Source organism: Homo sapiens, chromosome 1, assembly GCF_000001405.40.
Source record: "Homo sapiens chromosome 1, GRCh38.p14 Primary Assembly".
In the NCBI taxonomy this organism is placed as follows: domain Eukaryota; kingdom Metazoa; phylum Chordata; class Mammalia; order Primates; family Hominidae; genus Homo; species Homo sapiens.
This window is the reverse complement of record NC_000001.11, coordinates 27,272,396-27,295,102: the sequence shown is the minus strand read 5'-3', so window position 1 is coordinate 27,295,102 and position 22,707 is coordinate 27,272,396. Positions and strand designations below refer to the sequence as shown.

The 22,707-nt window shown below is 44.9% G+C and overlaps 1 protein-coding gene across 10 annotated transcripts in view, besides 3 other annotated features; it reads right to left on the bottom strand.

The window, feature by feature from the left end:
* WDTC1 (WD and tetratricopeptide repeats 1) overlaps positions 1-22,707 on the bottom strand; it is a 74,196-nt gene that overhangs the window by 13,534 nt on the left and 37,955 nt on the right. For 9 of the 10 annotated variants that reach the window (XM_047449749.1, NM_001410767.1, XM_047449760.1 and 6 more), the window contains exons 4-9: positions 12,818-12,864; positions 11,654-11,765; positions 7,242-7,429; positions 2,706-2,888; positions 987-1,081; positions 474-589 (exon numbers count right to left, since the gene is read on the bottom strand). In XM_047449749.1, the coding sequence (XP_047305705.1) occupies positions 474-589; positions 987-1,081; positions 2,706-2,888; positions 7,242-7,429; positions 11,654-11,765; positions 12,818-12,864 (741 nt within the window). Of the gene's footprint in view, positions 1-473; positions 590-986; positions 1,082-2,705; positions 2,889-7,241; positions 7,430-11,653; positions 11,766-12,817; positions 12,865-22,468; positions 22,566-22,707 lie in introns of all 10 variants that reach the window. The other variant, XM_047449768.1, reaches the window with a different exon arrangement.
* Positions 4,878-5,863: an enhancer, noted in NCBI's record as "H3K27ac-H3K4me1 hESC enhancer chr1:27615731-27616716 (GRCh37/hg19 assembly coordinates)". NCBI's record gives its function as "activates a minimal SCP1, AML or CMV promoter by ChIP-STARR-seq in naive H9 embryonic stem cells {active_cell/tissue: H9 hESC(naive)}" and the evidence as "EXISTENCE:reporter gene assay evidence [ECO:0000049][PMID:30033119]".
* Positions 7,537-8,179: an enhancer, noted in NCBI's record as "H3K4me1 hESC enhancer chr1:27613415-27614057 (GRCh37/hg19 assembly coordinates)". NCBI's record gives its function as "activates a minimal SCP1, AML or CMV promoter by ChIP-STARR-seq in naive H9 embryonic stem cells {active_cell/tissue: H9 hESC(naive)}" and the evidence as "EXISTENCE:reporter gene assay evidence [ECO:0000049][PMID:30033119]".
* Positions 10,239-10,318: a silencer, noted in NCBI's record as "silent region_507". NCBI's record gives its function as "represses an Ori minimal core promoter by ATAC-STARR-seq in GM12878 lymphoblastoid cells {active_cell/tissue: GM12878}" and the evidence as "EXISTENCE:reporter gene assay evidence [ECO:0000049][PMID:35858748]".

Genomic DNA, 22,707 nt, shown 5'->3' with positions numbered 1-22,707 from the left:
GGTTTAGCAACCTGCCATTATCAAAGAACACTTCCCAAAGCTGGCACTAACCCACAGCTTGCTCTGAGCTGCATGCTCTGAGCCCCAGGGATTTCCTCCTAGGAAAATAGCAGACGAGGAAACTGAGGCTCAGAAAAATAAAGAGACTTGCTCAAAGTCACAGTAAACAGCTGCTGAACAGCAGGCCAGCATTTGAACAGAAGTCTGTCCATTCCAAAGCCTATATTCTTAACCAAAATGCCATACTATCATATTTCTATCTAGTTCATTAAGAAAAAATGAAATAAAAAGACTGAGCTAGGACATCTCTCTGGGAACTCCAATGATGCCACATCACCCCCACATTTCAATGTAACATCATTTACCATAAGGCTGTTGTGTCTTGTCTGCCTCAGCAGTGAACATAAGGTACATGCCCCTGGCTGCTGGGCATGGAATGGTGATGGGGCAGAACCACCTTATGCTGTACATACCTGTTCCCCCCCCATGTTGACTAGTAGCTCTGTGCCATTGGGGCTGAAGGTCACATAGGTGGCAACCAGCACTCTCAAACGGTTGTTGTAGTCAGGAAGCTTCACTGGCAGGTGACCTGCAGGGAATAGCCCAGTCATACTAGGGTCCCAGTCCCTTTCAAAGGGGCATGAGATTGTGTGAAGTCAGTCATATCAAAAATTATACCAATCAACTTTAGCATAAAAGCAGCTACAAGTGTTGAGCCCTTACTATATGCACTGGGCTAGTTGCTTTATATATTTTATCTCATTTAGTCATTATAACCCCATTTTACTTAACCTTGATGAGTTTCTTTTCTGTAATTTGCTGAAGGTGACATAGCTTGTCAATGGCAGAGTTGGGATTAAAACTCAGGTCTGTCTGACTCTAAAACCCTTGCTCTTGACCACCATGCCATGCTGTCTCCCTGGACTGCCCCCAAAAGAGTCAGCATCTAGCCGAGAGTTTGGGGCCAGAGCTGTGCTGAGCGCTACCTGCTACGTAATACTGGGCTGCACCGTCCGGAAGGGGTTTCTGCCGGTCACAGAAGGTGTGCACACCCGCTGAAGGGCTCTGCTTCATGCTCTTTCTGGTGGGAAGGAAAATCATATAGGTTAAAGTTACAGCACTGCCCCTGGCTAGACCAGACCACACTCACTAGACGAAAACTTACATTTGTATCTGAGACATACAGGAGGTATTTTTCCTCCTTACCTAAGCAACCCCAAAGGCCCACCAACTAGACAATTACAGACATATACATTACAGTGCTTTACCAGGTAGGTCCTATAAGCTGTCTGGGTCTTCATGACCATCTTATTTTTCCCATTTTACAAACAAGCAAGCTAAGGTTCAAGACCCGCTCCAAGCCATGCAGTGTGTGAGGGGCAGCAGTGGTCACCAAGCCCATGAATGAAAATAAACAGGCGACATTCCTGCATCCATCCCAAGAATCATGGAAAGCCCAGGCTGGAGAGGCAACTCAGGTCTGAGAGTGCTGTGGGGGTTCTGAGTGTTATAAGAACTAGCAGGAAATATTATATACAGTGATTTCTTTAAGAAAGACACTATAAGAGATTTATATAAGAAATTATAAGAATAAATAAATATAAGGAAATCATAAGGAATTTATGTAAGAGATTATGGGTAATTTATACTTTTTTTTTTTTTTTTTTAATTGAGACTGAGTCTCACTCTGCCACCCAGGCTGGAGTGCAGTGGCAGGATCTCTGCTCACTGCAAGCTCCGCCTCCCAGGTTGACGCCATTCTCCTGCCTCAGCCTCCCCAGTAGCTGGGACTACAGGCACCCGCCACCACGCCCGGCTAATTTTTTGTATTTTTAGTAGAGACGGGGTTTCACCGTGTTAGCCAGGATGGTCTCGATCTCCTGACCTCGTGATCCGCCTGCCTCGGCCTCCCAAAGTGCTGGGATTACAGGCGTGAGCCACCACGCCCGGCCTAATTTATACTTTTCATATTTTCCAACATAAGCGAGGATTAAGTTTTTTAAAAAATCACAAAATTGAAGAAAGTCCATTTCATAAAGAAGAAGGGGCCAGGCTGGGTGTGGTGGCTGACGTCTGTAATCCCAACACTTTGGGAGGCCGAGGCGGGCAGATCACCTGAGGTCAGGAGTTCAAGACTAGCCTGGTCAACATGGTGAAACCCCGTCTCTACTAATAATACAAAAATTAGCCAGGTGTGGTGGCAGGTGCCTGTAATCCCAGCTACTCGGCAGGACAACAGCTTGAACCCGGGAGGCAGAGGTTGCAGTGAGCTGAGATTGTGCCACTGCGCTCCAACACGGGTGACAGAGCAAGACTCTGTCTCAAAAAAAAAAAAAAAAAAAAAAGTAAAACAATAAATAAATAAATAAAAGAAGGGGCCAGGCACAGTGGCTCATGCTTGTAGTCCCAGCACTTTGGGAGGTCGAGGTGGAAAGATTGCTTTAGCTCGAGTTTGAGACCAGCCTGGGCAACAAGGAAAGACCCCGCCCCTATAAAAAAATTAAAAAATTAGCCAAGCGAGGTGGCGTGTGACTGTAGTCTCAGCTACTTGAGAGGCTGAGATGGGAGGATCGCTTGAGCCTGGGAGGTTGAGGCTGCAGTGAGCTGTGATAGAAGAAGAGGGCATGGCAATGGCAGTGAGGGAAAGGGGCAGTAGGTTCTCTGGGGACTTACTCACAGGAGACAGGAGGCTGAACTATTCATACCTGTGGTTATGGATCATGCGGATGTCATAGAGCCTCACGAAGGGCCCGCTGGCCCCAACTGCCAGGCAGTTGTTGTCCTGGGGGTTGACAGTGAGGCACTTGGCCTCCACCAGCTGGCCACAGTACTCTGTCAGGTCAATCAGCACCTCCGAGTGTTTGCTGTTCTCTCGAAGGTCATACTGGCTGTGAGAGAGGACAGAGTTAGGGAATTGGGGCTTGGGGTCCTTGAGAGGAAGGCAGGGGAAAAGATAAGTTCTTGTTATGCAAGAGGATTGGGAGGGACTTTGGACCTGTTTCTAAATAAGAATGTCAAAAACAACTCCCATTTCTTGAGTGTCCACAGTGTGCCAGGTACCTGTAGTAGGCTTCTCACACATTCTATTCTACTAGAACTCCTAAGGTGGATACTATTGTACATATTCTACAGATGTTAGTATTATTGCTACTATTATACTACTACTGATTACCAACACTTAGTGAAAATGTGCTTTATGTCCAGTATTGCCCCTTAATTAATTCCTAACGCCATCCCTAGGTATCATTAGAATACTGAAGTTCAAAGATGTTGAATAACCTGACTGAGATGACACTGCTAGTAAGTGCAGAGCTGGGGAAGCTTTCTGAGACTGCATCTTAAACACTGCTCCGTTCCTACCTAATCTAGTTTCTTTCATGAAACAAGGTATGGAGGTGACAGAAAAGAGACTCTGCAGATCATCTAAGAGCTATCTAGATATACCATGGGCCAAGGCAAGCCTAAAAGTCTCATCCACGCAGTAAAGGTAATGCCAAAAAGTCTACCAAACAGCAGCAAACTCCCACCGCTCCAGACGGGGAAACTTTGTGCTGCCAATACACAGGTATCCTCAGAGAGTGGTGGGTAGGGGGGACATCACCTATATGCTCTCCCCTCTTGCCTAGACATCTGTTATCACCTCTTTGCTGTTCACCTTGTCTTTCTAAGCCATCTTCACCAGGCTGCTCTTCCTAAAATATTATTTTACATCACTCTCCTGCTCAAAAAAATTGCAGAGATTCCTCAATACTTTTAGCACAAGTTTACTTTTACCAAACTCCTCAGTCTGGTTTTCAAGACTCAATTTCACATTTCTCTCCAACCTTATTCCTCAGTTTTCTAAATGTGGGTCAATTATAACTACAGAATTCTTTATCCTGCACATGCCATGTTTATTTCTGCCTTTGCAAACTCTGCTCAAGCTGGGGAATACACTCTGCTTTTCCTTGCTCATCCAAATCCTGTCTGTTCTGGAAGGCCCAGCTTATGTTCACCTTCTGCTAGGACACCTTCTCTGACTGTGCCTATGCCTAAACACTTAGGATCCTACCCAATGCGCTAGACGCTCCGCTTCTACCAGCTGGCCCTGGCAAAATCTGGTCAGCCAAGGTCAAAAAGTGCTACACAGAGTTGGACCTGCCACTGACAAAGTGCATTCTGTCTTCTGAGGTTCAGGGATGCAGTGACTTACCCCAGTCAAATACTGAGTGCGATTGCTAGGATTTGACCCCAGGTCTGTCTGACTTCACTGCCTTGCTCTTGACTATGTTATAATTTATATATGACTTAGATATTCCTCATCTGTAAAAGGAAAGAGGGCACAAAGTCCTACAGGAACTCAAGGGAGACAGATTAAAGCAGGCTGGGGAGATAAGAAAGAAGTTCTAAGGTCACAGCTGAAGAAAGGAGTTAAAGAAGGGCAACGACACCATTTTAGAATGAAGGGAAGTAGAGGCAAATGTGTAACAATGCAGGGCACTGGAAAAGGGGACAGTCCATTTTACCATTTCCGGGTGGCTTGCCCCCTCCCAGGTATATAGCCACTGACCAACTGTTCAAGAGAAATGTATCAAGCGGCTCTATGTGCCAGGCGCTGTGCTGGGCTCTAGGGATACAACCAAGAACAAGACAGACATGGAGTTGCTCTAAGAGAGTTTACTTTTACTATTTAGTGAGGATACAGACAAAAAAGTAAACCAATAAGTAAAAATAAAATAAGGCCAGGTGTGGTAGCTCACACCAGCAATCATAGCACTGTGGGAGGCCGAGGTGGGAGGATCACTTGAGCCCAGGAGTTTGAGACCTGCCTGGGCAACACAGAGAAACCCCATCTCTACAAAAAAAATAGAAAAATTAGCCAAGCATGGTGGAGCGTGTCTGTAGTCCCAGGTATTCAGGAGGCTGAGGTGGGAGAATCGCCTGAGCCCAGGAAGTCAAGGCTGCAGTGAGCCATGATCACGCCACTGCACTCCAACCTCGGCAATAGAATGGAGTGAGACCCTGTCTCAGAAAATAAATTAATTAGCTCCCTCTCCCTCTCCCCCTCCCCCTCCCCACGGTCTCCCTCTCCCTCTCCCCACGGTCTCCCTCTCCCTCTCTTTCCACGGTCTCCCTCTCCCTCTCTTTCCACGGTCTCTCTCTGATGCCGAGCCGAAGCTGGACTGTACTGCTGCCATCTCGGCTCACTGCAATCTCCCTGCCTGATTCTCCTGCCTCAGCCTGCCGAGTGCCTGCGATTGCAGGCGCGTGCCGCCACGCCTGACTGGTTTTCGTATTTTTTTGGTGGAGACGGGGTTTCGCTGTGTTGGCCGGGCCGGTCTCCAGCTCCTAACCGCGAGTGATCCGCCAGCCTCGGCCTCCCGAGGTGCCGGGATTGCAGACGGAGTCTCGTTCACTCAGTGCTCAATGGTGCCCAGGCTGGAGTGCAGTGGCGTGATCTCGGCTTGCTACAACCTCCACCTCCCAGCCGCCTGCCTTGGCCTCCCAAAGTGCCGAGATTGCAGCCTCTGCCTGGCCGCCATCCCGTCTGGGAAGTGAGGAGCGTCTCTGCCTGGCCGCCCATCGTCTGGGATGTGAGGAGCCCCTCTGCCTGGCTGCCCAGTCTGGAAAGTGAGGAGCGTCTCTGCCCGGCCGCCATCCCATCTAGGAAGTGAGGAGCGTCTCTGCCCGGCCGCCCATCGTCTGAGATGTGAGGAGCGCCTCTGCCCGGCCGCGACCCCGTCTGGGAGGTGAAGAGCGTCTCTGCCCAGCCGCCCCGTCTGAGAAGTGAGGAGACCCTCTGCCTGGCAACCACCCCGTCTGAGAACTGAGGAGCCCCTCTGCCCGGCAGCCGCCCCGTCTGAGAAGTGAGGAGCCTCTCCGCCCGGCAACCACCCCGTCTGGGAAGTGAGGAGCCCCTCTGCCCGGCCAGCCGCCCCGTCCGGGAGGTGAGGGGCGCCTCTGCCCGGCCGCCCCTACTGGGAAGTGAGGAGCCCCTCTGCCCAGCCAGCCGCCCCGTCCAGGAGGGAGGTGGGGGGGTCAGCCCCCTGCCCGGCCAGCCGCCCCGTCCGGGAGGGAGGTGGGGGGGTCAGCCCCCCGCCCAGCCAGCCGCCCCGTCCGGGAGGGAGGTGGGGGGGGGGTCAGCCCCCCGCCCGGCCAGCCGCCCCGTCCGGGAGGTGAGGGGTGCCTCTGCCCGGCCACCCCTACTGGGAAGTGAGGAGCCCCTCTGCCTGGCCACCACCCCGTCTGGGAGGTGTACCCAACAGCTCATTGAGAACGGGCCAGGATGACAATGGCGGTTTTGTGGAATAGAAAGGGGGGAAAGGTGGGGAAAAGATTGAGAAATCGGATGGTTGCCGTGTCTGTGTAGAAAGAAGTAGACATGGGAGACTTTTCATTTTGTTCTGTACTAAGAAAAATTCTTCTGCCTTGGGATCCTGTTGATCTGTGACCTTACCCCCAACCCTGTGCTCTCTGAAACATGTGCTGTGTCCACTCAGGGTTAAATGGATTAAGGGCGGTGCAAGATGTGCTTTGTTAAACAGATGCTTGAAGGCAGCATGCTCATTAAGAGTCATCACCACTCCCTAATCTCAAGTACCCAGGGACACAAACACTGCAGAGGGCCGCAGGGTCCTCTGCCTAGGAAAACCAGAGACCTTTGTTCACTTGTTAATCTGCTGACCTTCCCTCCACTATTGTCATATGACCCTGCCAAATCCCCCTCTGCGAGAAACACCCAAGAATGATCAATAAAAAAAAAAATAAATAAATAAAAATTAATTAATTAATAAAAATAACTACAGGTGGCAATTAGAGTTACAGAGGATATAATTGTTAAAACAAGCATAACGTCTGTCTACTTTAGACAGGATGGTCAGAGAAGGTGCTTCTGAAGAGGTAACTGAAGCTGATCTCCTTAGGATAAGAAAGAGTCCGACATGGGAAGAGCTGGGGACAGAGAATCTCAAGTAGAGGAAAGAGTAACGTGAATGCCCAGAGGCAGTAGAGACCCTGGACACCTGAGGTGGTGAGAAAAAGCTTGTGGGCCTAGAGGTAGTACAAAGGAGGGCAAAGAGGGAGGAAGGTGAGGGCGGAGTAAGCAAATGTTCCCAGTGGAGTTTGTACACAGACAACTGCCCTGGGCAGACAAAGGAGGTTGGACCTCTGCTGGAGGGAAAGAGCTAGGTCTGTAGAAGGAAACACTATAGGATGATGGGATGGGGGAGCGACAGGCTCCACTAGATGCCCCAGACTCTTACCGGATAAGCCCATCCTCAGCAGCACTCCAGAATGTGTTGGGCCACATGGGCGCTGTGGCGATGCGCTTCACCCGGTTTGTGTGGTCTCCAAACATGTGGATGGTCTCCTTTACTGTCAGGTCGTGCACATGCACCTTAGAGTCGGCTGCCCCCGTGATCAAGATGCGGTCCCCAGCGTGAGGCAGGAACTATATAGGAGAAATGGAGGAAGGGGTGGGTGGTAAGAGTAGAAATGGCCACGGAAGGAGGCTAGCCTGGATGTCTGCACCCTTTTCTCTCTCCATGTCAGATAAGAGAATGAGCCCATGCAGGCTGGGCGCGGTGGCTCATGCCTGTAATCCCAGCTGCTCAGCAGGCTGAGGCAGGAAAATCCCTTGAACCCAGGAGGCAGAGGCTGCAGGAAGCCAGAGGCTGCAGTGAGCCGAGATTGTGCCACTGCACTCCAGCCTGGGCAACAGAGCGAGACTGTCTCAAAAACAACAACAACAACAAAAAACAAAACAAACCCTTGAGGTTCAGCAGTAATATACAGCAAGATTGTGTTCAAGCCCAAGTCTGTCTGACTCCCACATGCCCTACTTGCCTCATTATGACTACTTAGTAACCTAGAGATTAAGTAATAAATTAGTCCTGAAGTGAAAAAGACTTTGAGTGTTTAAGGGAATGGGTGTGTGTGGGTTTTTTTTGTTTTTTTTTTTTGAGACAGCGTCTCGCTCTGTCACCCAGGCTGGAGTGCAGTGGTGCAATCTCGGCTCACTGCAACTTCCACCTCCCGGGTTCAAGCGATTCTCCTGTGTCAGCCTCCTGAGTAGCTGGGATTACAGGTGTGCACCACCACGCCCAGCTAATTTTTGTATTTTTAGTAGAGACAGGGTTTCACCATGTTGGCCAGGCTGGTCTCGAACTCCTGACCTCAGGTGATCCACCTGCCTTGGCCTCCCAAAGTGCTGGGATTGTAGGCATGAGCCAGAATGCCCTGTTGGGAGTGAGTGTTTTAAATTAGTTTGACTGCTTCTGAAAAACAATCTGGTAATAGTAACAAAGATTAAAAACAATTTCTAGTTTTTGACTCAAAACTTCCACTTCCAAGAAATAATCCAGGCCAGGCGTGGTGGCTCATGCCTATAATCCCAGCACTTTGGGAGGCTGAGGCGGGCAGATCACAAGGTCAGGAGATCCAGACCATCCTGGCTAACACGGTGAAACCCCGTCTCTACTAAAAATATAAAAAAATTAGCCGGGCGTGCGCCTGTAGTCCCAGCTACTCGGGAGGCTGAGGCAGGAGGATGGTGTGAACCCAGGAGGCAGAGCTTGCAGTGAGCTGAGATCACGCCACTGCACTCCAGCCTGGGCAACAGAGCGAGACTCCATCTCAAAAAAAAAAAAAAAAAAAAGGAAATAATCCAAAAAGAAAAAAGGGACCTGGTCAGAAATGCTTGGATGCCTCTTATAATAGCAAATATTGGAAACAGCTCAAATGTTGGACAATAGGGAAGGGCTGAGCATCAAGAGGATACATCTCTATGCAGTATTTATTAAAAAAAAAAACAAAAAAAACCGGCCAGGTGCCGTGGCTCACACCTGTAATCCCAACACTTTGGGGGGCCGAGGTAGGCGGATTACCTGAGGTCAGGAGTTTGAGACCACCCTGGCCAACATGGTGAAACCCCGTCTTTACTACAAAAAAAATTAGCCGGATGTGGTGGTGTGCACCTGTAATCCCAGCTGCTCGGAAGGTTGAAGCAGGAGAATCACTTGAAGCCGGGAGGTGGAGGTTGCAGTGAGCTGAGATGGCATCACTGCACTCCAGCATGGGTGACAGAGCAAACAAGACTCCATCTCAAAAAAAAAAAAAAAAAAAAAAACCACCATCCTGATAAAGGCAAGAACAAAATACTCCAGATGACATCTGATAAGAAAAAAACAGCTGCAACCATAGCTTCAAATAATGAAAAAAGAAAGTATGCAGTTCTGGGCTGGGCGCTGTGGCTCGCACCTGTAATCCCAGCACTTTGGGAGGCGGAGGCAGGTGGATCACCTGAGGTCGGGAATTCAAGATCAGCCTTACCAACATGGAGAAACCCTGTCTCTACTAAAAATACAAAAAATTAGCCGGGTGTGGTGGTGTATGCCTGTAGTCCCAGCTACTCGGGAGGCTGAGGCAGCGGTGAGCCGAGATCTTGCCACTGTACTCCAGCCTGGGCAACAAGAGCGAGACTCTGTCTCAAAAAAAAAAAAAGAAAAGAAACAAGAAAGAAAGTATGTAGTTCTATCACATAACTTTGAGGATAAAAAATATTTGGGAGTGGTGTTGAATTCTCGTGTGAGTTCAAAAAATTGAAATATCTTTTTTTTAAAATTGAAAAGTTCCTCCCTACCCACAACAAGGCTGAGTGGTAGTGTTGGGGGAGGGGCAATGTCCTACACTGAAACAGCTGATGTCCCACTTGACTTTAAATGTTCACAAAGAACAACAATTCACTCTTTCCACATAGGCTTCTCTAAGGGCCATTAGAACAAGGTCTAGCCAGGCACTGTGGCTCATGCCTGTAATCCCAACACTTTGGGAGGCTTAGGTGGGTGGATAACCTGAGGTCAGGAGTTCGAAACTGGCCTGGCCAACATGGTGAAACCCTATCTCTACTAAAAATACAAAAATCTGCCAGGTGTGGTGGTGCACACCTGTAATCCCAGCTACTTAGGAGGCTGAGGCACAAGAATCGCTTGAACCCAGAGGCGGAGGTTGCAGTGAGCCAAGATTGTGCCAACTGCACTCCAGCCTGGGCGACATTCAGAGTAAGACTCACCCTCAAAAAAAAAAAAAAAAAAAAAAGACCAAGGTCTAGATGAAATAGACATGATTTAATTATTTTAGGGACAACCAGTAGTCTTTAATCCTGTCTAGAGACGGCATACACTCAATGCACAGCAGAAATAAACTGGGGAGCCCTTGTCATGATCTTGTGGCTGCTGCCACACGCATCACACACCATAGTCACCACCAGGGGGAGCGCATGAGTTAAATACATATACATCTGCAGTGTTTCCACTACCTAAAGAAAGAAGAATCCTTTTCAGGTTGTTTTTTTTTTTTTAAATAGAAGAGGAGGCTGACAGTCTGCATGTAAGTGCCGTTCCCAAGGTCTTACCGTTAGGGAGTATCAAGACCATTATGAAATTCTGGTGTTAGAAATCAATGTCTTGTGCTCTGATGCTAAACTAATGGCTTAGGTCCCCTTCCCCAGGCCTGACTGTGCAGACTAAAATTGGACCTAAACTCTTTGCAGGGGAAGAAAGCAGTTTCCGTTAGTCATATAAGAGGTAAATCATCATTGTTCTGTCTCTAAAGGCGAGAATCATAGCTTGAGAAGAAAAAAGGGTTTAGGAAAACAAGTAGGTTTGGAGCTATCATCTTGTTCAGGTATCTTGTAATTCCTCTTGATATTAATTACGAAAATATTTCTTAGAATAGTGAGGGTTTCCGAAGGACAACTTCATTCTCACATCTATCCATTATAGAATCTCAGAGCTGGAAAGGCCCTTCCTTGCAGGCCATTTCTTCCAACTTTAAATCTTGGAGATAAAGCACCTGGCGAGTGGACAAGTGCAGGGATAGGACATTTACTCATCTCCTCCAGGGGCCCATTCTACATTTTTCAAAGAGCTCTAAGCATTAGACAGTTCTTTCTTTCCTCAGGCCCACATTTAATTCTGTGGACTTACAGCCACTAGTCCTAGGTCTGTTTTCCACAACAAAAAAACATGTCTCATGTCATTTCCAGGGCTTCAACAGAGCTTCAAAGGTCTGAAGACACTTGTAAGTCCCCTTCTCACCTCTCCTCCGCTCAACTCCCCTCCTCCAACAAATCAAAATATTCATTTCCTATGAAGGGGTAGAACAGATAAAAAGCACTGGGCACAGACTTTATTTTTATCAATTATCTCATTGAACTGTCACATCAACCTTGTAGACTGTTATTTCCTTTTAAAAAAATTAATTTGTTTACAAATCTGGGAGATTTTCCTTCGCTGCTTCCTTTTTTACAGATGAGCAAACAGGCTCAGACAGGTCAGGTGATTTGCCCAGGTCACACAATGCCCAAGAAGCAGATAAGGGAGTCAAACCCAGGTATGCCTGCTCTCTAAGTTCACGTTCAGAACCATACCCCCACCACTACCATTCACATAAAGATAAATTCATCTAGAATTGGCCGCTTAGCTCTAAAAGAGGAAGAAGAACATGGAAGAGAAATGAGGTTTCAGGAATCACCAACAGATACTTAGATCATAAGGTTGTCTGTGACCCTAGACGGTATATGGGACACACACATACCAACATGGCGTGGCCACAGCCCAGTCACTCTTGTGCTTGATCTGTGGCTTGTGCTTGCTCTGTGGCTTGTCCTGCTCACCTTGACAGAGAAGATATTTGCGGTGTGTCCCGTGTGCATGGAGAGCAGCTTCTTGTGGTGCAGCGGGTCCCACACAATCGTGTGCTGGTCATCGGAACCAGAGGCCAGCAAGCTGAAAGCAGAGTGAGGGATTGTGATCTCTCCTCAAATTCCTAGGCTCCCTTTCCCCATCCCATGTTCTCAGTTTACAAGGAGTTAGGTTACAGAATTTGAAGAACAGTAAATGTCACAGAATTTAAGGTTGCCTTGTAAACAGCTGATTCTCTTCTATTTTGTCCTGAGAAATTTCCATTATTCTTTTTTTTTTTTTTGAAATGGAGTCTCGCTCTGTCCCCCAGGCTGGAAGTGCAGTGGCGCGATCTCGGCTCACTGCAAGCTCCGCCTCCCAGGTTCACGCCATTCTCCTGCCTCAGCCTCCTGAGTAGCTGGGACTACAGGCGCCCGCCACCACACCCGGCTAATTTTTTGTTTTTTTGTAGAGACGGGGTTTCACTGTGTTAGGCAGGATGGTCTCAATCTCCTGACCTCGTGATCCACCCGCCTCGGCCTCCCAAAGTGCTAGGATTACAGGCGTGAGCCACTACGCCCGGCCAAGAAATTTCTATCATTCTTAAACACATTGGCTTATTAAAAAAACAGGGTTTTGGGCCGGGCGCGGTAGTTCATGCCTGTAATCCTAGCACTTTGGGAGGCTGAGGCAGGTGGATTGCCTGAGCTCAGGAGTTTGAGACCAGCCTGGGCAACATGGCAAAACCTCGTCTCTACTAAAAATACAAAAAATTAGCCAGGCATGGTGGCGCATGCCTGTAGTCCCAGTTACTTGGGAGGCTGATTAAGGAGAACCGCTTGAACCTGAAAGGCGGAGGTTGCAGTGAGCCAAGATCACGCCATTGCACTCCAGCCTGGGTGACAGAATGAGACTCTGTCTCTAAAACAAAACAAAACAAAACAAAACAGGGTTTGGATGGTCATCCAACTTTCCATCTATCTGAGATTGTTTAATTGTGTTGAAAATTATGGGCTAAGCTGAAGAACGGCAGACAGCAGCAGTCTCTTTTCATTTGGGTCCAATCTTTTCCTTGGATCCTCTCAGGAGGAGCCTTGCTGTTCCACCCTCCTTACTTCCTTCCCCAGCACCCTTCAGGTGCTCTAGCTCATACTTACTCTCCTTTCTCATTCCACTCCAGACAGTTGACACATCCTGAGTGACCCTGGGGGAGCAAATGAAGAGACAGGAAGAGAGTTGGTTAGGGGTTCTCCTGGGGAACTCAACACCAAGAAGTGGAACTGAACAGGTAAACCAGTCTTTCCATTTTCAATATTTTCCAAGTGCATGTGAGTGGCCAAAGTGGACTTAAACTGACTAGCGTCTTACAATATATAAAGTACTTTCATATTCATGATCTCACTTGATACTGGGCACTTCTGAGCCATAAAGGACAAGTTTCATTGATCCCGTTTTGCAGAAAAGTAAACTGAAGTTCAGACAGTAGAAAGCAGTAAAAGTGAGATCCAAACACATTTCTGCTTTTACCATTAGAAGGAGTATGTCAGCCAGGCACAGAGGCTCACACCTGTAATCCTAGTGCTTTGGGAGGCTGCCCAATCTGCTTTGGGCAGATTGCTTGAGCTCAGGAGTTGTAATCAACCTGGGCAACACGGCGAAACCCCATCTCTACAAAAAACACAAAAATTAGTTGGGTGTGGTGGCATGTGCCTGTAGTCCAAGCTACTCGGGAGGCTGAGGTTGGGAGGATGACTTGAGCCTGGGAGGTGGAGGTTGGAGTGAGCTGAGATCGCACCACTGCACTCCAGCCTGGGCGACAGAGCCAGACCGTGTCTCAAACAAAACAAAACAAAAACAGAAAAAGAGATATGTCTGAAACAGTACCTTCAAGGGATACCCTCTCAGTCACAGAAAATTTGCCAGGAAACATTCAATCCAAGGACAGCCAATTAACTAGAAGGCTAATCTTTTATTCACCCAGCATTTTTTTTTTTTTTTTTTTTGAGACAGAGTCAGGCTGGAGTGCAGTGGCATGATCTCAGCTCACTGCAACCTCCGCCTCCTGGGTTCATGCCATTCTCCTGCCTCAGCCTCCTGAGTGGCTGAGACTACAGGCGCCCGCCAACACGCCAGGCTAATTTTTTGTATTTTTAGTAGAGACAGAGGTTTCACCGTGTTAGCCAGGATGGTCTCGACCTCATGATCCGCCCGCCTCGGCCTCCCAAAGTGCTAGGATTACAGGCGTGAGCCACCGCGCCCAGCCTCACACGGCAAATTATTCATCAAGCACCTACTGCATGCCAGGTACTGTTCAGATGCTGGGGGTACAGGAGTATAAAAAACTCCTTGGATCTTCCAGAGCTTAATTCAAATAGGTAGAGCCTGGTGCAGTAAGGTAAATTAGGTCAGAGTCTTTATCTTGGGGATTTGAAAAAAAAGAGAGAGAGACTCTGTCTCAAAAATAAAATAAAATAAAATAAAAATAAGAAAAAGAAAAAGGAGAGAGATACCAAACAAACCCAGAAAAAAACAGGAATGTCAGGCTTTAGGAAGAGGCTTAAAGGATCTTTGAGAACATTTTCTGACTTTCAGGCAAAGCCTGTGATCCAGTTTGTGTAGCTACACATAAGGACCCTCTCTTAACTACAACCCAGTGAGATTCATCATATACACATTTAACGTACCTGCTGACTTCAGGCCTAAACCCTTGTGTAATGAGGCTCAACCTAAAGGGTCAATGTCAAAGAGCATGAAAGTTACAGATATTTAATGAAGCCTCCACAAAAAATGCCAACTAGGAAAGACAGGAAGCAGACAGCCAAGTGCTTCTCTCTAACTTCTTAAAAAACAGCATGAATGAGTCTGAACAAGCAAGATTTAGATTAAAATCCAGCAAAATTAACAGAACACTTACTAAATGCCAGGGTAGATGCTAAGCTTTCACTTTTGTCAATTTATTTAAGCTTCACAATACACATACTTATTACCATGTATTAAGGTTATGTAGGTGCAATATTTTAACAGAATGGAGTAAGTTCTGACAGCAAATAAAACTTTAAAAAATTCCTCACTCACTCTCCATTGACTTAATGATATGTTGTCTTAAAGTCAGAATGATTTGAATATCCAGACATTTCCATAAAATCTTTTCTTTTGTTCCTTCTTTAATCCAGCTCAATGTTTTCTCAAATTTTAGTGTGCCTAAGAATTACTTATATGGAGTAGTAATAATTATAAGAATAGGTAAACTTAGCTTACTATGTGTCAGGCCCTGTCCTAAGTACTTCACATAATTACCCTTGAAAATCCATTAAGTTGTCCATAAAATACAACAAATATCATTTTATGTGTACAAGCTGTATTTCCTTGAGCAAGTTCTTTAACCTCTCTGTGTCTCAGGCTCTACATCAGTAAAAAAGATAATAATTGTAGATAGCCTCATAGGGTTGTTGTGGGAAATGAACAGTATTTGTAAAGCACTTTGAGTGGTTACTTTGATAGCTGAGTGGCAGAATCAGAAATAAAATCCAAATATGTCTTTTCCATTGCACCAAGAGAGTTCAAGACTTACAGCACAGGCTGGGCATGGTGGCTCACACCAGTAATCTCAGCACTTTGGGAGGCTAGGCAGGAGGATTGCTTGAGCCCAGGAGTTGGAGACTAGTCTGGACAACATAGTGAGATGCTAGCTCTACAAAAATTTAAAAAATTAGCCAGGTGTGGTGGCGTGCACCTGTAGTCCCAGCTACTGGGGAGGCTAAGGTGTGAGGATCACTTGAATCCGGGAGGTGGAGGCTACAGTGAGCCATGATCACGTCACTGCACTCCAGCCTGGGCAACAGAGCAAGGCTCTGTCTCACAAAAACAAAAACAAAAAAATCCCAAGAAACAAAAAATGTAAGCACAGCCCAATGTGAACTATATTGGAGAAAGAAAAATCCTCCTAAAAGTCATGAAAAGGAGCGATTATATTTCTGGTCGGGCTCCAGCGATCCTCCCACCCCAGCCTCCTGAGTAGCTGGGACTAGAGATGCGTGCCACCACACCTGGTTAATTTTTGTATTTTTTGTGGAGATGGGGTTTTGCCATGTTGACCAGGCTGGCTGGTTTTGAACTCCTGGGCTCAAGTGATCTGCCTGTCTCAGCCTCTCAAAGTGCTGGGATTACATGCGTGAGCCACTGTGTCCGGCCTTAATTCAATCTTTTAACAATTATTCAAGCACCTATTATATACTAGGCATTCTTACACATGCAAAGGTTGTTGTGGCAATTAAGAGAACTCTAGTAGGGTAAGAGAGAAAATAAACAAACATATAAATCAGTAAGATGAATTCAGATGGTACTAAGTGTGATGAATATATGTTATTTATTTTTATTTTTTGAGACAGTGTATTACTGTGTCACCCAGGCTGGAGTGCAGTGGCGCAATCTCAGCTCACTGCAACGTCCACCTCCCAGGTTCAAGTAATTCTCTGCCTCAGTCTCTCAAGTAGCTGGGGTTCGAAGCACACATCACTGCACCTGGCTAATTTTTGTATTTTTAGTTGAGACGGGGTTTTGCCATGTTGGCCTTGGCCTCCCAAAGTGCTGGGATTACAGGCATGAGCCACCATACCTGGCCTGGATATACTTTAGATATAGTGGTCAGGGAAAGCCGCTCTGAGGAATTAATATTTGAGGTGAAATCTGAATGCTGAGAAGTAGCAAGTTACATAAAGATGTGAAGGAAAAGCATTTCAGGCATATGGAATAATGAGTATAAAAATAACAGGCCTGATAATGCCAAAGAAACAGAATGAAAGCCAATGTGGTTAGAGCATTGTGATGAAGGGGACAGAGTAAGATGAGCAAGATGGGCTCAGGGAGGTGAGCAGAGGCCAGATCCTAAGGGTGTTTTACAGGTCATGGCAAGAAGCTTCATGGGGCCAGGAATTGTGTTGGTCTTATTCACTGCTATATTATTTTCCCAGTGTCTAGAACATTTCTGTCATATAGTAGGCATTCAATATTTGCTTGAAAATATGACTGAATTAATGAATAGTTCCTAGTTCTGCCCTCTGGTACTTCAAAGCATGAGTTTACTCCATCATCTAAAGCAGAGGTCAGCAATCTTTTCTGTAAAGGCTCAGATAGTAAATATTGTAGGTCTTGCAGGCCATATGGTCTATATCACTACTACTCAATTCTACCATTGAATCACTAGAGCAAACATAAGCAATACATAAGTGAGTATGCTGTGTTCCCATAAAACTTTACTTATAAAAACAGGTGGCAATAAATTTGAATTTAAAGCTCATATGGGCCAGGTGTGGTGGCTCACGCCTGTAATCCCAGCACTTTGGGAGGCTGAGTTGGGCTGATCATTTGAGGTCAGGGGTTTGAGACCAGCCTGGCCAACATGGTGAAACCCCATCTCTACTAAAACACAAAAAAAATTAGCTGGGTGTCATCATGCATGCCTGTAATCCCAGCTACACAGGAGGCTGAGGCAGGAGAATCGCTTGAAACCAGGAAGTGGAGGTTGCGGTGAGCCAAGATCATGCCACTGCACTCCAGCCTGGGCAACAGAGTGAGACTCTGTCTCAAAAAATTTTTTTCAAATTAAAATAAAATAAAGCTCATATGGAAATACCAGAGACCCAGAATAGACAAAACAATCTTGAAAAATGAACAAAGTTGAAAGACTCATACTTCCCAATTTTATAACTTACTACAATGCTACAGCAATCAAAACAGTGTGGTACTGGCATAAGAATAGACATTTAGATCAATGGACTAGAGTTGAGAGTTCATAAATACATCCTTAAATTTACAGTCAATTGATTTCTGATAAGAGTATCAAGACAGGCTGGGAACAGGGGCTTGTACCTATAATCCCAGCTATTTGGGAGACTAAGACAGGAAGATCACTTGAGACTAAGAGTTTGAGACCAGCCTGTGCAACATAGCCAGACTCCGTCTCTTAAAAAAAAAAGAGTGTCAAGCAATTAAGTAGAAGGAAAGAATAGTCTTTTTAGCACATGGTGCCAGGACAAGTGGATGTCCACATGTAAAAGAATGAAGTTGGATCCTTACCTCACACCATACATAAAAATTAATTCAAATGGATCAAAGACCTACATATAAAATCTAAAACTACAAAACTCTTAGAAGAAAACACAGGTGTATATATTCATGACCTTGGATTAGGCAATGTTTTTTAAGACACAACACCAAAAGCACCAGCAACAAAAGAAAAAAAGTTTAGTTGGGCATGGTGGTGTGCGCCTGCAGTCCCAGCTACTCAAGAGGGTGAGATGGGAGGATTGCTTGAGCCTGGGAGGGTAAGGCTGCAGTAAGCCATGACTGTGCCACTGCACTCCAGTGAGGGTTACAGAGACAGATCCCATATCAATTAAAAAAAAAAAATAAAACATAAATTGAATTTCATTAAAATTAAAACTTTTATGCAAAGTCACCATTTAAAAATGAAAAGACAACACACAAAGGAAAAGAAACAAAATTTCAAATCATACATATCTTATAACTCAACAATAAAAAAGGACAACCCAATTAAAAAATGAGTGAAGCATCTCAACAGACATTTCTCCAAAGAAAATACACAAATATGACAACAAGCACATGAAAACATGCTCAACATCATTAGTCATTAGGGAAATGAAAATCAAAACCACAATGAGATACCACTTCACACCCACCAGGAGGGCTATAATAAAAAAAAAATTTTTTTTTCTTTTCTTTTTTTTTTTCGAGACGAAGTCTTGCTCTGTCACCCAGGCTGGAGTGCAGTGGCGCAATCTCGGCTCACTGCAATCTCCTCCTCCTGGGTTCAAGCAATTCTCCTGCCTCAGCCTCCCAAGTAGCTGGGACTACAGGTGTGTGCCACCACACCTGGCTAAGTTTTGTATTTTTAGTAGAGATGGGGTTTCACTGTGTTAGCCAGCATGGTCTCAATCTCCTGACCTTGTGATCTGCCTGCTTCGGCCTCCCAAAGTGTGGGATTATAGGCATAAGTCACCGCGCCTGGCCTATAATAAAAAATATTGATAATAAGAAGTGTTGGCAAGGATGCAGACAAATTGGAACCCTCACACATTTCTGGTGGGAATGTAAAATGGTGGTACCACTTTGGAAAACAGTTTGGCAGTTCCTCAAAAAAGTTAAACACTGAGTTACCATATGACCCAGCAATTCCACCCTTCGGTATATACCAAGAAAAGTGAAGAAAACATGTCCACACAAAAACTTGTACATGAAGGTTCATAGCAGCATTATTTATAATAGCCAAAAAATAGAAACAACCACATGTTCCACCAACTGATGAATGGATAGACAGAATGTGGTACATCCAAATGATGGAATGCTATTTGGCCGCAAAAAAGAGAAGTACAGATTCATACTATAACATAGATGAATCTTAAAAGCATTATGCTAAAAAGCCACACACTTTATAATTTCATTTACGTGAAATGTTCAGAATAGGAAAATCCATTGCAACAGAAAATAGATTAGTGGTTTCTGGGGTAGGGCCAGTATGGGAGAAGGAAGTGACTGCTAAGATGGGTAAGAGGTTCCTTTTTGGGGTGATGAAAACATCCTGGAATTAGATAGCAGGGATGGTTGCAAAACTTTGTGAGTATAGTTTGTGAATAGTCAAAACCACTCAATTAAATAAAATAACAAACAAGCAAACAGGCGACATTCTGGATTTGGCCCACTGGCCACAAATTGCTGATCTGGATTTAAAGGACAGTCCTCACGAAAGGAAATCTCTCACAAAGTCAGATCCCCGCTCCATCTTTTTCTTTATTTTTTTTTTTTTTTTGAGACAGAGTCTCACTCTGTCGCCCAGGTTAGAGTGCAGTGGTGCAATCTCGGCTCACTGCAACCTCCGCCTCCTGGGTTCAAGCAATTCTCCTGCCTCAGCCTCCCAAGTGCTGGGATTACAGGTGCCTGCCATCATGCTTGGCTAATTTTTCGTATTTTTAGTAGAGAAGGGGTTTCACCATGTTGGCCAGGCTGGCATCTTTTTCTTTAAACATGACTGTTTAATGAACTTGGTATCTAGTTTACTTCTCTAAAATGGTATTACCTTAAAAAGCTCTGACAAGTCTTTGTTAGAATAAGGTTACACTATGCCCATGGAACTGCTCTGGTCTACCAAAGCTATTCACAAAGGAAATCAATCTAGTTTCATATGACTTGTTTCCATAAATTCATAATTTGAATGTATGCTAAAATAATATAAGAAACAAAATGGAAAAAGCAAGCAGGCCAGATTGTAAAGGTGAGATAGATACATAATGTTTGCAATTGTTTAAGGATAATATGAAGAAAACTAATAAGGCAAGAGAATAAATCCACCAAGCCAGGAACTATCTATTAAGCCATTTTTAAAACAGACATATGGTTGAGGTGGAAAGGATATGAACTCTGCAGCCAGATAAGCCTGATATAAATCTTTTAAATCTTATTTCTACCACTTATCTGACCTTAGAAATGCTGAGTTTTACTCTGATTTGTAAAGTGAGATTCCTTTCTTCTTCTCTCTACCATGTGTCTAATACGGTGCCAAGAAATCCCACAAGTGAATGAAATAGCAGGAATCAAAGTGTGATCACAACTTCCAAGGTGATCTTGGGAGATCCCTGGTAATACATACAAAATGAAAGCAAGCAACTCCCCAAAAAAGTGAGGACTGCAGGCCATGGCTGGAATCCCAGGATATTTGGTTCTTGTCAGTTGTGACAATAAAACTCATGAGATGAGCTGGCACATGTAACTAAAGAGGGATGTGGAATGCTCAGCAAAAATGTCCAAGGAAAGTGGAAAACTGATTGGGTCTTATATACTAGAACGGCTTAAATTAATCCTCATTAATTTAAATTTAAATTGTTTAATCTCAACCTCCCTTCTGGCTCTCTTACTTGGTTGCTGCCACTACAACAGTTCTTTGTATTTTCTTTTACTTTTAAAAAATGTTTTATGGAGATGGGGTCTTGCTGTGTTGCCCAGGCTGGTCTCAAACTCCTGGCCTCAAATGATTCTCCTGACTGCCAAAGTATGGGGTTATAGGCATGAGCCACTGTGCCCCAGCCAGTTCTCTGTATTTTCTTTTCTTTTTTCTTTCCCTCTCTCTCTCTCTCTTTTTTAAAGACAGTGTCTCCTTCCATTGCCCAGGCTGGAGTAAGTGGTATGATCATGGCTCACTGCAGCCTCAACCTCCTAGGCTCAAGCAATCCTCCCATGTTAGACTCCCTAGTAGCTGGGAGTACAAGCACACACCACCACACCTGGTTAATTTTTGTATTTTTTTGTAGAGATGAGGTCCTGTTATGTTGCCCAGGCTGGTCACAATTCTGGGCTCAAGTGATCCTCCCACCTCAGCCTCCAAAGTGATAGGATTACAGGTGTGAGCCACTATGCTCAGCCCTTTGTATTTTCCTAATGAACAATTTAAACTTTCTATTTTGAAACAATTTCAAACATAAAAAGTTTGCAAGAATAGTATAAGAATGCCCATATATACATTTTACCTAATTGATAAATTAAATAATCTTTTTCCCTCTCCCTCCCTCTCCTTTCTCTCTCTCTACACACGCACACACACACACACACACACGTGTAAAGTACTTAGTACTTTTTTTCTGAACCATTTGAGAAATCAGTTGTAGACTTCAGGACCCCTTACACTTAAATACTTCAGTGTATAATTCTTAAGAACATTGGTCATTCTTTTATTTAACCAGCGCATATTTATCAAAATCAGAAAATTTAACACTGATACAATACTGTTGTCTAACGTATAGTCCATATTCAAATTTCACTAACTGTCCAATAATGTCCATTTTATTTTCCTCATTCAGAATCCAATCCAGGATCACACACTGCATTTGGTTTATGTTTTCTTAATGTCATTAAGAAAATTAGTCACTGGCCGGGCACGGTGGCTCACGCCTGTAATCCCAACACTTTGGGAGGCTGAGGCAGGCAGATCACGAGGTCAGGAGATCAAGACCATCCTGGCTAACATGGTGAAACCTCGTCTCTACTAAAAATACAAAAAATTAGCCGGGCGTGGTGGCGGGCGCCTGTAGTCCCAGCTACTTGGTAGGCTGAGGCAGGAGAATGGCGTGAACCTGGGAGGCAGAGGTTGCAGTGAGCCAAGATCGTGCCACTGCACTCCAGCCTGGCTGACAGAGCGAGACTCCATCTCAAAAAAAAAAAAAAAAAAAAGAAAAGAAAAAGAAAATTAGTCATTTTCTGTTTCTTTTAATCTGAGACAGTTCCTCAGCCCTTTTTTGTTTCCTATGACACTGAAATTTTTGAAGACTATATCAACTTTTGCCCTGTCCCAAGACTAGAATTAGTTATTTCTCCAAGGATCCCTGCTTCCTTTTAATAGAGAATGGCATTTAGAAACTAGTAACCCATAATTACTATGGTATTACTGCTTCTAAATTACCTTTGCGTGGACAGAGCTGGAAATAATAGATAAATACAAATTTCTATATATGTAGTTTATTTTTATTTTTTTAGAGACAAGGCTGGGGTTGCCCAGGCTGGGGTGTAATGGTGCAATCATAGCTCACTGCAGCCTTGACCTCCTGGGCTCAAGTGATTCCCCTGCCTCAAACTCCTGAGTACCTAGAAGTACAGACATGTGTAACCATGCCCAGCTATTTTTTATTTGTGGAGATAGGGATCTCACTATGTTACCCAGGCTGGTCTCCAACTCCTGGCCTCAAGCTATACATGTTTTTAAAATCATGAGTTTATATTGAAACAAGCTAATTCCAATCCAGTACCTTAGAGTTCTTCCTCGTCTTTCCCTATTCCATATTTGAATTTCCCTTCTACAGTGAGAACTCTGGCTCCCAACAACATTGACTTCTTTATTCAATTCTGTAACATACACAAAGTAGTTATGGAATTGCTACAGCAATACTGCTACAAATGACAAATCTACTAAGTAGAGCTCAAGATTTCTTTGAAGTTCATTTTATCTTTACACTGAAAATATATACAAAGTATCATGTTTAAAAAT